Raw genomic sequence first — 18,186 nt, forward strand, 5'->3', positions numbered from 1 at the left:
GGAATGCAGAATGATGAAGTCAAGAGGATGATTCACGGATTAAGATGCTATACTTATAAACAAACCTTTAAGGGAAACCAAATGTTATCATTGTGTGTAGGTGAGTGTCAAAAACAAATGTTGAAAAATTGCAAACAATTGGCACAGCACTGGTTTACTGCATGGAAATGCACCCTTCCTGCTGCCTCCTCACAGACTCACACTCAGTATTAACACTCACACAAGAACAACCGCTAATTAGATTGAGAGACAGCATGGGTAGGGCAAGCTGTCAGGTCTTCACAGAGTCTACCCTTTCTATTTTTGCCTCTTTTAAGAGCCTTCAAAAGGTTAACATTCAATACTATGGTAAATTAAAGCCCAGCCATCAGACCTCCATAGCCAAGGAAGAAGTTAGCAAAGCATAACAACCTTGACTACAGCAAATAGTATGCAGATGCTTTGGTTTTGGTATATAAAAGGTGGTCCTGGCAAAAGACATTTAATGCCACGTACTTCATTATTAAAGCTCAATGATCTCTCATGGCATTTCTTGGCCTGGTGACTTCAATCTCATACTGAAGCACTGTGCTTTTCTCAAAATATCAAATCTGTTTGGCATTTTTAAAAGCTATTCTGTTTTCCATCCCAACAGAATTCTCTGAGGTGTTAAGGGTACCGGGAAAAGGGAGGGTAGGTAGACAAGCCATTATTACCATGACTGTAGGTAGAAGCAAAAGGGGGATTTAATATGACCCAGATCCTAAAGATTCTTGGAAGCACCTACATGCAAAAGAATTTAGCATGAGGAATTCTTTTCTGAAGACAGGGATGCTAGCTGAATTAGTGATGGACAGGTTACAATGCTATAGTCCCTCTGGAGAGGTATTTCTAGCATCAAATCTTGGCTGCTGCTTTTTCCATTTTCTTTGTTACTACAAGTCACATTATACTGTTACCTATCATTTCTTCCAGGATGCTTCCTACAACTGTTGGTTTACCATCTTAGGCCACAATAATGCTTATGAATCCACTGCCTACTGATGTTTACCCTGAGTTTTTCCAACCATTTCCTCAAGGCACCTGGAGTTCCTGTGAAACATATGTTGGAACACCCAATAATAACAATCTTCCTTTGCTTCCAGCAGGCCGGGCACTATCACTTACATACTTTTTGACAGTCACTATGGTTCAAAACTATTTGTAAGAATACAAAATAATAACATAAGGAAAGGCCACAGAGAAATAAGCAATCTGCACTGCACACACACAACTCAGGAGCGGGTAACACATCACTCCGTAGCTAAGGGCATTTGTGGTTTTGGGCTTTGAGGCTTACTGTGTGAGGGAACCTTCCAGGTTGCTGCGCTGGCTCCGATACAGAGTATGAAACAGCACTTGGAGCATGGGAAAACTTGACACATGAAGTAATCGTAATGTACTCTTTTATGATAGTACATTTATGTATGTGCATATGTATATATACATCCACACATATACATTTTTTGAAGAAATATTTCAGGGATAAATAGCATTGCAATGAATCAGTGGTATGGGGTATGTAGGAAGATGTGGCTAGATATATAAGCTGGTATGGATTCTAGGTGTAAACATCTGGAGGGAAGGGACTGAATCTTATTCTTCCTAACATCTTCAGCACCAGGCACAGTCTTGGTACATCACAGAAGCTCAGGAAATATCTAGTGACTAAATGAATGACTGCATGGCCATTGCCACTGCGGCTGTGTCAAAGCCACAGAATGACCGCAGTGGTATATAAGCCACCAATAACATAGGGAAGCCTGATAACTGCTCTCCTGGAACTTATGGGGGCAAGTTAGAAAGAAAGCAGGAACTTTGGGGTAGGAGAAAAGAATACCATTGGAATTCACTTTTTGAAACATTCTTTTAATTTTAGGTTGTGAAGGCTCTTACGATGTGAGCGACAAATTAAGAATACTAAATATCGGTTGGTAAAGCTTTCTAATTAAATTTAGGGCACAGCTGATCTGATATATATTTACATTATATATCACTGATACTGAGCTGCATGGTAATCAGAAACACACAAACAATTCACATAATGACTGTAATTAATCAGGGGTTTCTACAATCGAACATAGGCGGGTTGGTCATTTCCTCCTTTGTGTTAGTTCTCCATTTTCTTTAACCATGTAAATCTGTTTGTTTCCCACTTATACCTTGAAATTCTTACTCCTAAAAAGACTAGAGTCCTGGATGCCATTCCAACAAGTTCCCCTGCCTCTGCTTCCTGTGGCTCCCTCTTTCTCCCTATACCCCTCCCACTTATCTCCCTTTGTGCCCCATCTGAGAATTCCCTTAGCAGTGCCTGTCTTGGGAGGTTGAGGGCTTTAGGCAGCACAAACTTTGAGACATGAAGTTGTGTATGTTTGGCCATGGGTGCCGTGGCTTGGTCAGCAGGCAATGCTGAGAATCATACAGAGGGGAGAGGAGAGAACACTACGTGAAGAGACTGTAGATTAACCCAGGGTCTTGGGCTGAGCTAGGGTGAGTAGGGTGGCACCAGACTTTCCTTGGTGTCCTCCAGAGCCTGTACTATCCTCTATTGCATTATTATAATTCTTCATGACACTTAGGAATTTTTTCATGTCTGTCTCCCTCTACTTTATGATTGCACCCCAAGACCTAACACAGTGCAATGTTCTAGTTGTGTAGTCATGTGAGGTAGCTTAACAGAACCCTGGTTTTCAGAAACACACTTTATACCCAATTTTTGACGTATTCTGACATGTCTTAGCATTATTTTTTGGGATGAAGAAGTTTAATATAGATAGAGTTTGAGGTTAGGAATCTGTAAGAGAAACGTTTTAAATGAAGGAAAGAGCCTGAGAGGAATCAGCAGTGTTTGAGTGTGTGGGAGTTTACAGCAGAGACAGCACTGGGATGAAAGTTGAAGCCTGCTTTTCAGCCTAGCATGGCCTATAACTCTCTGTGTGATGCCAGACAAGTCATTTCAGCTTTCTGCACATTCGTTTCTTCATCTTCAAAGTGAAAAAAAAAACAGACTAAATTATTTCTAGCTCTAATTTTTTTCCTTTGGCTCTTATATAATTTACTTCAGTTTTAGTTTACAAGTTGCCAGGGATCAATTTGAATAAAATGGAAAGTTAGGTTTAAATAATATTTTTATACGATTTTATTAAAGTTTAGCTTTTCTTCAAATTGGTTCACTAAGATTTTGAAGTTAAGAAAATTTTTTTGAAAGGCAGCTTGATGTCATGGAAGAAACATTTTATCAGGAATTAGAAGACTGACTTTTGATCCTCATTCTGGCACTAACTGGTGAAGTAGTTTTGGCCAAAATGACTTATCTTCTCTTAGTTTTCTTCACCTAAAAAAATGAGGGGGACAGTTGGCAGAAATGCAATTCAAGTACACTGTGTGGTTCTGCTGATTGATAATATTTTATTTAGTTATTATAATGTGAAATCTGAACACTATTCTAACTAAAATTCTACTATGAATTTACTGGGGTAAGTGCATATCTGACATTGGGATAGGGAATAGGAATAGGGAGATATTAAGTGTGTATCATATGTAGGGATGGGAAAGTGAAAGAGTGCTCAATCCTGAATGTCTATGGTTGAAGTAAAAAATAATGCCTAAAATGGATAGAAGAAACATGAGTATGCTATTTAGAGATATGGGGGCAAAAAATAAATCAGCAAAAAGAGTTGAAAGTGTTTGCATCTGAGCTATTTTTCATAAGAAGTCTTATACATTTAATTTTAAAAACTATGTCCATACGTAATTAAGATAAAGCATTAAGTGACTCCCTTTCTTCCTTGCCGGTTAGTCTGCACACCTGCCTGTAGTTTATTTAACAAGCCCTGGCTATGAATCAGGCACTCTGCTAGATGCTGAGGATACAAAGCCCAATGAGACCTGGTTCTGCACTTCATGGAGTTTTCAGCCAGAACTGGGAGGGGATCTGTACTCAATAATTAGTGCAGAGAGCAGGTGGGATCCTCAGCCAGGGGTCAGCACAATATGGTAGTGGAGCAAACCAGAAGAGCTCCTACCCCAGAGGCTAGGGGTCAGGAGAAGAGTCAGAGAAATTTTCCTGGAAGAAGTAATGTTCAAGAGGAATCTTGAAGAACGAGTAAGAATTAGACAGCGCAGGAGGGTGGAGATTTCAGGCAGAAGGAACAGCAGGGGGGTGCTGAGTTAGAAGTGATTAAGTGATAGCTTATTAATCCACAAAGAGCCCCTTGTCTGTGATCTTACAGTTCTTGTTACAGCACCCAGAATAACCTTCGTGCCTGATACATATTCATTGAGGTTTATGATCATAAAATACCTCATCTTAAATCAAAGCCGAATAAACCAATCAGAGCACACAAAGATTTATGTGAAAAATTCCAATAACCAGAGAAGTTAGAACTTATCACTGCTAAATGTATTCTTCCTTATTAAGAACATCAGGGAGAACAAAGCTGGAGGCATCATGCTACCTGACTTCAAACTACACTACAAGGCTACAGTAACCAAAAACTGCTACCAAAACAGAGATATAGACCAATGGAACAGAACAGAGGCCTCAGAAATAATGCTGCATATCTACAACTATCTGATCTTTGACAAACCTGACAAAAACAAGAAATGGGGAAAGGATTCCCTATTTAATAAATGGTGGTGGGAAAACTGGCTAGCCATATGTAGAAAGCTGAAACTGGATCCCTTCCTTACACCTTGTACAAAAATTAATTCAAGATGGATTAAAGACTTAAATGTTAGACCTAAAACCATAAAAACCCTAGAAGAAAACCTAGGCAATACCATTCAGGACATAGGCATGCGCAAGGACTTCATGTCTAAAACACCAAAAGCAATGGCAACAAAAGCCAAAATTGACATATGGGATCTAACTAAACTAAAAAGCTTCTGTACAGCAAAAGAAACTACCTATAGGCAACCTATAGAATGGGAGAAAATTTTTGCAATCTACTCATCTGACAAAGGGCTAATATCCAGAATCTACAATGAACTCAAACAAATTTACAAGAAAAAAACAACCCCATCAACAAGTGGGTGAAGGATATGAACAGACACTTTTCAGAAGAAGACATTTATGCAGCCAAAAGACACATGAAAAAATGTTCATCATCACTGGCCATCAGAGAAATGCAAATCAAAACCACAATGAGATACCATCTCACACCAGTTAGAATGGCAATCATTAAAAAGTCAGGAAACAACAGGTGCTGGAGAGGATGTGGAGAAATAGGAACACTTTTACACTGTTGGTGGGACTGTAAACTAGTTCAACCATTGTGGAAGTCAGTGTGGTGATTCCTCAGGGATCTAGAACTAGAAATACCATTTGACCCAGCCATCCCATTACTGGGTATATACCCAAAGGACTATAAATCATGCTGCTATAAAGACACATGCACAGGTATGTTTATTGCGGCACTATTCACAATAGCAGACTTGGAACCAACCCAAATGTCCAACAACGATAGACTGGATTAAGAAAATGTGGCACATATATACCATGGAATACTATGCAGCCATAAAAAATGATGAGTTCATGTCCTTTGTAGGGACATGGATGAAGCTGGAAACCATCATTCTCAGCAAACCATCGCAAGGACAAAAAACCAAACACCGCATGTTCTCACTCATAGGTGGGAACTGAACAATGAGAACACGTGGACACAGGAAGGGGAACATCACACTCTGGGGCCTGTTGTGGGGTGGGGGGAGGGGGGAGGGATAGCATTAGGAGATATACCTAATGCTAAATGACGAGTTAATGGGTGCAGCACACCAACGTGGCACATGTATACATACGTAACAAACCTGCACGTTGTGCACATGTACCCTAGAACTTAAAGTATAATAAAAAAAAGAAATAAAAAAAAATAAATAATAAAAAAAGAACATCAGGAAGAAATGTGTTTAAAATGTGTTTAGCATTGTGTTACCGATTCACCAGTAATTGGTATGTACATTTATAAAAAACAAATTAACAATCCAACTCAATCTTTAAGTATGACTAGAATTTTTATTATGTAAAACTCTTCCTCCCTGTCTTCTTCCCCCACAATCATGCCATGTTGTAACAGTACATGATGCAGCTGTTGTTATTGTTGTGTTTGTCTCTCTCTTTTTAAAGACAATCTCAGTTTTAAAAATAATTTAACTGCAACAATCCTAAAATTGCAAAGAAGCAGTATCATGCATGGCAGCAGGCTGGAAACCAGGTGACTTGAGTTTTAGTTCTAGTTCTACCACTTATGATCTATGAAACCTCACACAAGATTCAAACACTCAAAATCTTGGTGTTCTATTCTCTTAAATGGTAATAGGTACATTCGCCCCCATGGAGTGGTGAGGTTCAAAGAAGAAACAAACCAGTGTGTGACTCTAAAAAAATCCTTAATCTCTTTGGATTTCAGTTTCTGCATCTACAGAATGAAGGGAGTTGCATGCAGACATAACCCCTTATGACATTTCCAGCTTGAAACCTGTTTATATCTACGTAAAGACGGTTTGAAAAAATGTAAACTAGCATTCAAACATATGATGCATTAAAGAATTACTTTAAATAAAACAGAAGAAATGGAGAACTCATTCTATTTTTCTACTATAAATTTTTGTAAACTCCTACCATATCTATGACTGTTTTATTTGTTAATGTACTTTACAACTACCAACCACCTGAAACCACGGAAGTGAATGAAGTTGCCTGAAATGAGAATTTAAAGTGAAGAGGGCTCAGGGGAGAAATGAATCAGTGAAGGAGACTGAGAAGAAGCAGACAAGAGGGAAGCTGGGAGGAGATCGGGATTATCATGGAAGCCATGAGAAGACTGGGTTTCAATGAAGAGGGAACATGCTGAGTTAATGCAACTCAGGGCTAAATAAGATGATGAGTGAAAGGGCCCTCTGAATTTAGAACATGGAAGTTACTTGTGACTTCAGCAGGAACAATTTTGCAGATGGAGGAGGCAGGGCCCTGTTGGAATAAGAGGTGAGTGAATGGAGGTCCGAAAGTAGTCAGTGCATGTAGATAATCCCTTTATGAGGCTTTATTATAAAAGATTAGAATTACATGAATTAGAATGATAGGAGGTGAGATCTGTGGGGTTCAGAAAAATATTAGAGCATGTTTAAATGCTGATGGGAGGAATCCATAAGTGAGAGAGAGAGAATGTGATCCCAGAGAAAAAGGTGTCAAAGGATGGAGCCAGTGCCTGAGCAGGAGGGAGGAAAGACAGGCCTTTGACAAGAGACAGGAGAGGCTGGTACAGCTGCAGATGGGCTTGCAGAACTGAGCTTGGGAAGTCAAAGGAGCTCGCTTCTGGTATCTTCCATTTTCTTTGAGAAGCACAAGACTGGAATATTGTCTGAGAATGTAGGTGACAGTAGTTTGAGGTTTGAAGAAAATGAAGACTGCACAAAAAAAGTCATTATGGAGATTGGGCTTAAAAGACTTTTTTTTTTTTGGCTCAGAAGAATTTTTAAATTTCTAAACACATTCCTTTAAATGAAAGTTTTGAGGAGCATAACCATCTATTTGGAAATTATTAAGTGCTAGATAGATGTGAAAAAAAAGTAAGGAGGCTAAATCAGTGAAACCTAAAGCCACATTTTGGACAAACTGCAAATATTTGAACACAAGGAAAGCCATTCTGCACATACCACCTCCCAGAAGTTGTTCCTGAATTTCCCAAACAAAAGATGCGTTCATTTGTCTGGGTGCTCAGAGCTCTCCGTCCTTTCCATATTGTCCTTTGTGCTGCATCAGTCCTAACAATCCACATATGCTTTCTCCACCTGCTAACCTGTAGGCACCTTAAAGGCTAAAGGCCACAGTCCATAGCTGAATTACATAGTGTGTCTTTCAAGAAATGCTACCTTTGAAATGGTTACATAAATCTTATGTCAAAGAAGAAATGTTATCTGATTTATACAAATTGGCTTTATACACACTGAGGAAGACTCTCACGGCATAAAGTGAGGCATGTTTGTAAGAACAAAGGGTTTCATTGAGTACCCATGGACACAAAGAAGGGAACGATAGACGATGGAGCCTACTTGAGAGTCGGCGGTGGGAGGAGGGTGAGGATCAAAAAACTACCTATTGGGTACTATGCTCACTGCCTGGGTGAGAAAATAATGAGAAAATAATATGTACACCAAACCCCAGTGACATGCAATTTACCCATGTAACTCACCTGCACATGTACTCCTGGAACCTAAAATAAAAGTTGGAGGGGGAAAAAAAAGAACAAAGTGTTTCCAGAAACATCAGCATAGCAAATGGGTGGGCCACGCTTGGAAGCAAAGTGCTCTTTATGTGGGTCACATCACTACTCTACGATTTCAAGAGAGCCCTATGTAGCCAAGTATATTCAAGGAAATGAAACAACTCCCTCCCCCGCTCCTATTCTTCTTAGATACAAAAGACAGATAATTATCTAGAGTATTTCTCAATATGAACAAAATGGAAAAGTGACCTTTGAGTCTGTGACAGTCTATTCACGTCAGTGTTTTTAGCAGGAGCAAAGCAATGTCCAGGCTTAGGGAATGCCCACAGGAGCCAACTTCTGCTCTCCCTCACATTACATAGACCATAAATAAAAAGAAACAGTTTAACAGGCAGCCAGACCCAAATAGCTCATAGGCACCTCCTGGGAGTGATAAAATTCTCCTGCTGGTAGACTTACATAAACCAAGATGCAATGAAATTTTTAAGGATATTCTCCTTGCTTAATAAACCTGAATGTTTTAAGCCTCAAAGATGGCTAGACTAAGACTAAGAGAGGAAATAAATCAGTCTAGCAAGAAAAAGCAATCATTCAGAGTGTTGGTAGATTAGCTGAAACATACAAGAGATCAAATTCAGTGATTTAAAAATCATGTACTTGCTAGTTAAAATGCCCATTTCTAGCTTTTTACCCATTTTAAAACACACTAAAAAGTTTTACCTAGTGATTTAGTTGCTTAATGCTAAAACTGGGGCTTCTATCCAATCTCTGACTTGTTTATGTTCAAAACAGAACATACAATACATTTCAAAGTCTGAAATTTTTTACAGATTCATCTGTTGTTTGATGGCAATTAACAACAAAAAAAGCACTTTATCAGATAATAAGTCAATCCAGTTGTTCATCCTGATCGTAATAAAATCTTAGAGGCTTTTTTGGAAAGTGGTATTTCCAATTTATTAAAGCAAAGTACCCAGACCATTGTTTTGTTTGATTTTAAAAGAATAACACAAAAACGAAGAGGATGAGATAAAAAAAAAACTGGTAGAAGATTGTGGAATCAGTCTGAGAAGTCCTCCTATTCTGTCCTGATTTCCGATAACCACTGGGCTTATGAGAACTTGCTAAGACTGTGAAGCACACATTCTATTCTAAATTACCCTTGTTTTGCTTCTCCTTTTAAAATCTTCAAGCACGCACCCTGAATGAAGACAAAGAATGAGGAGGACTGGCAGGATAGTTATGTTGTCTGTGGGCAAGATATGGCTAGCAGGGCTGGAGTGTTAGATATGGATAGCATGGCTGGGAGTGTTTTCTGGGAGAAAGGATGTCCTGGGGTAAACAACTAGAGCGAGAATTGCGGTGCTTAGAGCAAAAAGGAAATCTTAAAAATAAAACAAAAGCAATTAAAACTAAAATATTAATTTTATGACAACTAATTAGTTTCCAAAATATTTAGAGAGTTGATGGTTTTTCAGAAAATTGCAATGCTAGTCCCAGTCAGGTAGATTATTTCACTTTGAAATCTCTTCAGAAATTTAATGCATGGGTAACTTGCCTAGGGTCATACATAGTATGTCTGGAGTTCTTTGGAATTCTGACTCTCCATATGTGTACTGGCTCAGCTTTTTGGCAAAGAGTTATTATAATGTCTACTACTGGTGAGGGGCCAGTACTGCTGAGGTGCTCATTATTAGTTTTAAGACGGCTGTTCTGCTCTTATCTATTAAGAGACACCATGGGAATGATGTCTCCCCTGACAACCAGAGGATCTTAGGTAGGGAGGCAGCTGTGCTCATTTGTATTCATACTGCATGGTGTTCTTGAATGCATTATAAGTTTATAATGCAAAGAAGATTTTTATGGGAAAAAAAAAACAGTATGTGGGAGAAGTGGAAAACCTTTCCTTGGTATGCACGTGTTTTATATGACAAAATATTCTGCATTTATATTTCTAAAACACCAGAGAGATTCTACAAATCTATCTTCTAAATAAAATAAGACAAACGGAAATCAAATGAATAACCAGTCGGTCATATGTCTTGCTGTGCCTACAATAGTTCTGGTTAATGCCTGTTGTCTCAGCATAATTATTAAAATGATTCTTTTCAGTCTCATCAGCAGAATTATATGATCACCCTATAATAACTGGACATGTAGACATAACCCAGCCTCTTGGAGGAGTTAATTATACCATTTAGGTATTGAATTAAACTGTTTCTTGGCAGCAATCACCAAGGGCAACAGTGGGTTACACACATCTCACCATTTGATAGAAAGAAGCATACATGCTTGCCTATAAAATGTTTAAGACCATGGTAACAGCACTTTTGAAAATGCAGGCCAGGTGCGGTGGCTCATGCCTGTAGTCCCAGCACTTTGGAATGCTGAGGCAGGCAGATCACGAGGTCAGGAGTTCGAGACCAGCCTGGCCATCATAGTGAAACCCTGTCTCTACTAAAAACACAAAAAATTAGCCAGGCATGGTGGCAGGCCCCTATAATCCCAGCTACTCGGGAGGCTGAGGCAAGAGAATCGCTTGAACCTGGGAGGCGGAGACTACAGTGAGCCGAGATGGCGCCATTGCACTCCAGCCTGGGTGACAGTGCGGGATTCCGTCTCAAACAAAAAAAAAAAAAAAAGAAAAAAAGAAAAATTAAAAAGAAAATGCAGAATCTTTTGAATTTTGAAACAAAAAGTCCAAACTTTTGACCAGGCGTGGTGGCTCACACCCGTAATCCCAGCACTTTGGGAGGCTGAGGTGGGTGGATCACCTGAGGTCAAGAGTTTGAGACCAGCCTGACCAACAAGGTGAAACCCCATCTCTACTAAAAATAAGAAGATTAGCCAGGCGTGGTGACAGGCACCTGTGGTCCCAGCTACTCGGGAGGCTGAGATAGGAGAAATGCTTGAACCCAGGAGGCGGAGGTTGCAGTGAGCTGAGATCACACCACTGCACTCCAGCCTGGGCAATGGAGCAACACTCTGACTCAAAAAAAAAAGTCCAAACTTTTGAATTTTGTCTTGAAAAGTAACAGATAAATTTTCTGGATCTGCTTTCACAGTGATTCTTTATTAAAAGTTAGCACATGACACACAATTTTCAGCTTTTTAAGGTCCTTCTATAGACTCTAGGCAAAGGTGATCCTGACAGCTAGGACCACTTAGCCCCAAATGCTGCTCAGCCTCAAGTTAATTCTGCTGTTGGTCCACTGTCTTCTCATACACTTATTGTCTAAACTGCATTTTCTCTTGGGAATAAGCCCTCCACCTTGCATTTCCCTTCTAGTAACTGGGTCCCAATTTGGTTCCCTACTGCATGAACCTATATTTTGGTTCCTTGCTTTTTCCTTTCTCTATTTAGGGGCCTGTTTGTGTGATCCTGAACTTTTCCGATCTGGACTCCCAGCCATTGCCAGTCATCACACTCCTCACTCTCCATTTTGCTATCAAGGACTTTTCATCTCTGAATAGCTGTCACTTAGTACAATGCCTAGTGCATAGTAGATCCTCAATAAATAGTTGTCAAAGGAATCAATAATGAATGAGAACTGAAGCTTCCTTCTCATTGACTGGAGCTGGTTTGCTTCCAAGTGCCACTTCTACCCTGCCACTTTCCACTATTAACAGGGCTTAGGGAGCTAACGTTGTTTGCATATGTTAGTCTTGGGTGAGTTAATACAGCCACAGAGCTTAATGAACGCCAGTGTAGTTGCTTGGTATGTCCCTTATGGGGCAGCTGCCTAGGGCTGTACAGGGTAGGTCTCAGCTGAGGCAGTGTGAGTGGAGCTGAAAGTCACACAATGCTCACATCACCAACACCAGGCTCTAAAGAAGGTAGCCAAAAGAAAGCAGCTCTTTCTGTTTTCTAACCGGTTTGCCCAGAGAGGTCCCACTTTGCAATCCATCCTCTCGGTGGGAGAGCCTTTTTCTAATTTCATACAGTAGCTCATTTGTGTTGGAAGAGGCCCTAGCAGGGCTAACATTACCACAAGGAAACATAGTAAGTGAGTTTTTGGCAAGTGTATCTCTTAAGGAGCAAGCATCTGTGAAGGAGTGAATCTATTATCTCCTTTTTTCTTATTATAGGTAAAACCCAGTATCTTTCTCCTGTTAAGTTCATACAGACAGACTTCATTGAAATTTAAGGGCAACAATTTTAGCATGGTAGCTGACTACCCAGATTTTTTTTTAATTGTGCCATTATATTAAAGCAATTTTTCCCAGGGAAGCAAGGTGAACCCTCTTAGCTTGGAAGAACCCTTGGCTCTTTCAGAGGCTTTCCTCTTACGAGCCTCTAATCTACCTGTGAGACCTAGGCATCTTGTACCACCCCCGCCAAAAAAAAAAACCAGAGTGTAGAGAGGTAGTTTGCCTTGCCCATATGCACTTCTCTAGGATAATTAAATATATATTTTGTCTAGTCTTAGCAGATACATGTAGAGCAGGTCCTTGAATAACATTTTGTTCAAGGACATTTCATTATAAAGTCAATGAGAAAAAACACAGATTCCCGGCCAGGGCCACTGTCTGTGTGGGGTCTGCACGTTTTCCCCATGCCTGTGTGTGTTTTCTCTAGCTACTCTGGTTTCCTCCCACATCCCAAAGCTGTGCACTTTAGGTTAACTGGTGTGTCTACATGGTCCCAGTGTGAGTGAGTGCAGGTGTGTTAGTGTGCCCCACGAGGCGGGGGATGGCCTCCTGTGCAAGGTGGGTTCCCCTGAGCCACCAGGATAGGCTCTGGCTAACTGCAGCCCTGAACTGGAGTAATTTGGTAAACAGTTATCTTACTTGTTTTCATTAATCTTTCTTAAATGTATATATAGCTTACACTGATTTCAGTGTTTACTATAAGGAGTGTTTTGGGTCTCTATTTAGAAGTTAGGTGATGTTTTTGTAACCAGAAATATGCTGTAGGAACTTAACTCTTGTTTATCCCAATTAGCCTATGGTAAAACTGGTTTCATTATTTATTGTTTCATTTAAAGTTTCCAAGAATAGTATAGTTTCCAAGAACCTGTTGACTATGTTAAGTGAGGACTCACTGTATTACTGCTACTCAAAAATTTCCTCTAAACATGGTTAAAAGCACAGACATTGGAACCAGTTTCCTTGAATTCAAACTCTGTCTTTGACACTTATTAACCGTGTAAGGCACTTCATCTGTAAAACAAGGATAGTAATGGCACCTACCTCATAGGGTCATTGTGGGGGTTAAAAATGTTAAATTCACATTATTACTTAAGATAGTGCCTGGCCATACTAAATGCAATATGCATTATCTATCATTACTATTATTTTAGGAGAGTGAAAAAGGTACTGCTTAGTACAAAACATTCATTTTTCAGTAGAGATATGCCAGGTATGTATCATGTTAATATTAGCATTGGGAAAAAATAACTCCGGATTTTCATCAAGGATATTTTCTGAAGTTTGGGTTGTATGAGAATTCTACACTCTGTCCAATTCTTATAATAACACTCATGATCTGCTGTTCATTCATGACCTCACTCAGGAAGTTCAGTTTTGCTACAAATATTACAAATACCAAACTGATGTTTCCTAACTCACTCAGTGTTCTGCCCAGATTGCGGCAGGCCCCTTTTTATGGCTCTGGCAGCTGATATTAGGACTTGATTACTTCTGAACTCCTGAAAACATGTTTGCTGTCAGTTGCAAAAGAGGTGGCATGAGAGCGACTCAAAACATTTCCAGTATCATGACTGTTCCATGAAAGACTTGAGAGAAATGGATACCTTAAAAAAACGAGAATAAATGTGCTGAAGTGCCAAGGAAAAGGCAGTTCTCTCTCTACTAGCTCCAATTTAGGATTTGCACTTCAATCTATACTTGCTCACTTGTGAAATTAAAAATCTTTTTTTTTAAATCACATAATATCAGATGTGACTTCTTCACTTACTTTTATTTTTCTAAGTGCATCTGAAAGAAGAAAGGTATTTCCAGGAGGGCAAAGAAGAGAATGTATATGATTTTTCTTCTCACTTAAGATTCTTATCAAATTTTCCTGATTTTTTTTTTTTTTTTTTGAGACGGAGTTTTGCTCTTGTTGCCCAGGCTGGAGTGCAATGGCACAATCTAGGCTTACCACAACCTCCACCTCCTGGGTTCAAGCGATTCTTCTGCCTCGGCCTCCCGAGTAGCTGGGATTGCAGGCATGTGCCACCACGCCCAGCTAATTTTGTATTTTTAGTAGAGAAGGGGTTTCCCCATGTTGGTCAGGCTGGTCTAGAACTCCTGACCTCAAGTGAACTGCCCACTTCTGCCTACCAAAGTGCTGGGATTACAGGTGTGAGCCACCACGCCCGGCCAAATTTTCCTGATTTTTATGTGTAGGGTTGAACAATGGAACCTAATCTGAATCATTAATTCATTCATGGATTCATTCAGTGAGTAATGATGATGAGTGACGACCACGTGCCGGTGCCCTGATGTTTACAGTCTAGGCATTTTAAATATACTACTTCTGATATTCATAATTCTCCATATTAGGTATTATTTCTACTTTGCAGGACAGGAAACTAAGGCTTAGAGATGTATAGCAACATACTCATTATCACATAGTTATTAATTGGAGGAGCCAGGATTGAAATCTCAGTCCATCTCCTTCTAAAACCCAGGTTTATCAGATTTTTTTTTTACTACATTACACTGGCTATAAACAATGAATGTATTCTTGATAGTACAAAATTCAATGTTTTATAAAGCATATCATGGTTTAGGAAAGCAAGAAATATGCCTGAAAGGCAAGCATTTTTCCTTTTTAATATATATCAGATTTATAGAAAGCACTGTATACATCAGTAAATAAGACATTAGATTAAAGGGCTAGCATATCTTTCAGAAGGTTAGTAAAATACTGTATTTATGTATGGTCTGAACTGCATCATACCAGACAATCCTGAACATGATCTGCAGACTCAATGCTTGCCCTAGTGGCTCACGTCTGAAAATGTCACTTACTGGCCACAGGACATTGGGTGTACTATGTAATCTGTTTGAAAATCTGTTTCTTCATCTATAAAATGGGACTATCATCATTCTATCACATAGGAAGCTACAAAGAGAAAATGGAGAGATACATGTAGAATACTTAACAGTGATGGGCAGGCTTCAGTACCTTACCTTTTCCTCACATATTACACACACAGCTTTACTAACAGTAGCAGTAAAGTACATCTCTGTTTATCATTTACACAGAAAAAAAGAGCTCCAATGGAAATGCCCCAGAACATGAAGATCACTGACTTTGATGGCCTGCCTGTGGTAAAACTTAGGATATAAATGAGGATCAGAAGCTTTTGGGAGACATTTTCTGGATGTGTCAGGTTTAGCGTGACTAAAGAAGGGTTTGAATATAATCCCTAAACTACAAGTAATCTTCCACTTATGCATATTAGGTAAGGATAAATGAACAGTTACATTAACACACAGAGCATATCTACAAACAAATAAGATTTTCTTAAATACATTAGAATGTGTTCATTTAAAAGACTTATTTGAAAAAAATAAAAAGAATTTTAAAAGGTTGTTATTTGACATTGTCACTCTGAATGCATATATATTTATTTCATTCATTTGACAAATGCTTACTGAGTGTCCAGTAAGTTCAGGGCACTGTGCTAGCATTGGGCATATGCTGATACACAAAACAGCAATGGTTTTTTCCCTTCAAAATCAGCTTTGAAACCATGAGTAGAATCAGTCACATTATTTACTGATAAATATACATCGCTAAAAGAATTCAAGTCTGGGCCAGGTGCAGTGGCTCATGCCTGTAATCCTAGCACTTTGGGAGGCCGAGGTGGGTGGATCACTTGAGGTCAGGAGTTTGAGACCAGATTGGCCAATATGGTGAAACCCTTTCTCTACTAAAAATACAAAAATTAGCTGGTATCATGACGCATGCCTGTAATCCCAGCTACTCAGGAGGCTGAAGCAGGAGAATCGCCTAAACCCGGGAGGCAGAGGTTGCAGTGAGCCAAGATCGCACCACTGCACTCTAGCCTGGGCGAAGGAGCGAGACTTTGTCTCAGGAAAAAAAAAAAGAATTCAAGTCTGACTGACTAAAGCCTAAGCTCATCATAAAACCCACCACCTAGGAGAAAATATTAAATGATGCATGTCTTGGAGAATCAACGTAGTTAGCAGAGGAGAGCTTTCCTAACACAATAGAAAAATGCCTTTGGACGGTGTCGGTAGTCCCCTCAGTAAAGTGTCTCACACTTCCTGAATCTGATCACTGGTAATAATGATGATAAAAAAAGATTTCCTTTTTTTAGCATTGGAAAAAACCCTACCCAAATAATTTTTGGAAGCTTGAGATTACATTATTTATCTGGTTCAGGTTTTAAAAATATTTCTGATTTTTTTCTGCCAAAATCCAAGCCCTCTTTCCTCATACAGAACAACTTAGATTTCTGAAATAGTTCTTCCCTTGACATTACTTGGGAGGTGGGCATTATTTCCCCAGAAAAGTAAACAAGGGAATAAAAACAAGGTGACTCAAAGGATGAGGAAGTATGTTTTTGTAGAGAACAAAAGATCCTTTCACAGTATGTCAAAGACTTAACTGTGAACTTTCCCGAATGTAAACACTGTTCAAATGGCAAAAGGAATTTCATCTATGTCTATAAAAGGTCCTGAACAATAGCTCTTGCTTGAAGCTACTTTTGACGGGGCCGTAAAATAATCTTTTCTTCAAATACTTTACATACAGACCTACAAAAACTTTTTCATCTTCTCAGGAGACATACAATTATAATTACCTTCATAATAGCAACAATAACACATAGAAGCACGGTACTGCTAAAGGCAATTAATGTCATAAATTATAAGCAGCATCATTTATGCTTAGAGTCTTCAGGAATAAAGAAATGCTTTAAGAGATAGTTTAAAATATTAGGCTAATGGTTTCCATTTAGCCTAAGAATTTAAAACTTATAGGGGCTGAGTACGGTGGCTCATGCCTGTAATCCCAGCATTTTGGGAGGCCAAGGCGGGTGGATCACATGAGGCCAGGAGTTCGATACCAGCTTGGCCAACATGGTGAAACCTCGTCTCTACTAAAAATCCAAAAAGTAGCTGGGCGTGGTGGGGGGGTGCCTGTAATCCCAGCTACTTGGGAGGCTGAGGCACGAGAATCACTTGAACCCGGGAGGCGGAGTTGCAGTGAGCTGAGATTGCGCCACTGCAGTCCAGCCTGGGTGATGGGGGACACTCTGTCTCAACAACAATAACAACAACAAAAACATAGGGCAGTAGATTTCTTTAAACAGATTTCATTATGATTACAAAAAAGGAATATTAATATTTTAAACCAAAAGGAATTATGAGATATCAGTTAGCTAAAATAAATATTTAACTTTTCCTACTTTAAAGTTTTACTCTTTACAAACCTCCTAGTTTTAATAATTGTAAAATGAACACTAGTAATTATTTAATGACAAGAATATGTCCTATAGTAAAATGCAAAGGAATAAATAGGTTTATTTGCTGTATTAGATGAATAATATATGAATTATAGTCAGGCAGATAATAATATTATCTGTATTTCTGGTGAGGTAGTTTTACTTCGTGTTTCTTTGTGAATCATTTTGATTAGAGTAGATTTTTCCATTAGTATTTTGAGTATTGATCATTTTTGTTTAGTACTGTTAGTATTCATCACAAGTTGATTGTTTTTTCATTTCCAAAGGTTTATTGCTGGGGGGTGAGGGGAGAATGTTATTTTTTTCTACTGAAATGCACCTCTAACTTTATAATATCTGGTAATGGTGAAACAGAATTCACTTCTAGTAACAAGACCTAAGCCACAGAATTTCAGAGTTGGAAGAAAATATGCTGGATACTTTAGGCCCACATTCAGCCTCACTCTGAGAAGGGCAGCATTCCACCACCAGGGGTAGCTTGCACAAGTTAGGTACAA

The 18,186-nt window shown here is 39.1% G+C and overlaps 1 protein-coding gene across 1 annotated transcript in view, besides 2 other annotated features; it reads right to left on the minus strand.

The window, feature by feature from the left end:
- The window catches only part of VWA8 (von Willebrand factor A domain containing 8), a 394,275-nt gene that overhangs the window by 64,862 nt on the left and 311,227 nt on the right, over nt 1-18,186 (minus strand). The window lies entirely within an intron of this gene.
- Nucleotides 16,778-16,922: an enhancer, noted in NCBI's record as "145 bp enhancer 169 fragment used in the MPRA reporter construct; PK_construct_1260". NCBI's record gives its function as "activates an SV40 promoter by MPRA in HepG2 cells {active_cell/tissue: HepG2}" and the evidence as "EXISTENCE:reporter gene assay evidence [ECO:0000049][PMID:23512712]".
- Nucleotides 16,844-16,855: a transcriptional cis regulatory region, noted in NCBI's record as "FOXA motif; enhancer activity is reduced when this motif is scrambled". NCBI's record gives its function as "necessary for full MPRA enhancer 169 activity {active_cell/tissue: HepG2}" and the evidence as "EXISTENCE:site-directed mutagenesis evidence [ECO:0005528][PMID:23512712]".

This window comes from Homo sapiens, chromosome 13 (assembly GCF_000001405.40).
Source record: "Homo sapiens chromosome 13, GRCh38.p14 Primary Assembly".
NCBI classification, from domain to species: domain Eukaryota; kingdom Metazoa; phylum Chordata; class Mammalia; order Primates; family Hominidae; genus Homo; species Homo sapiens.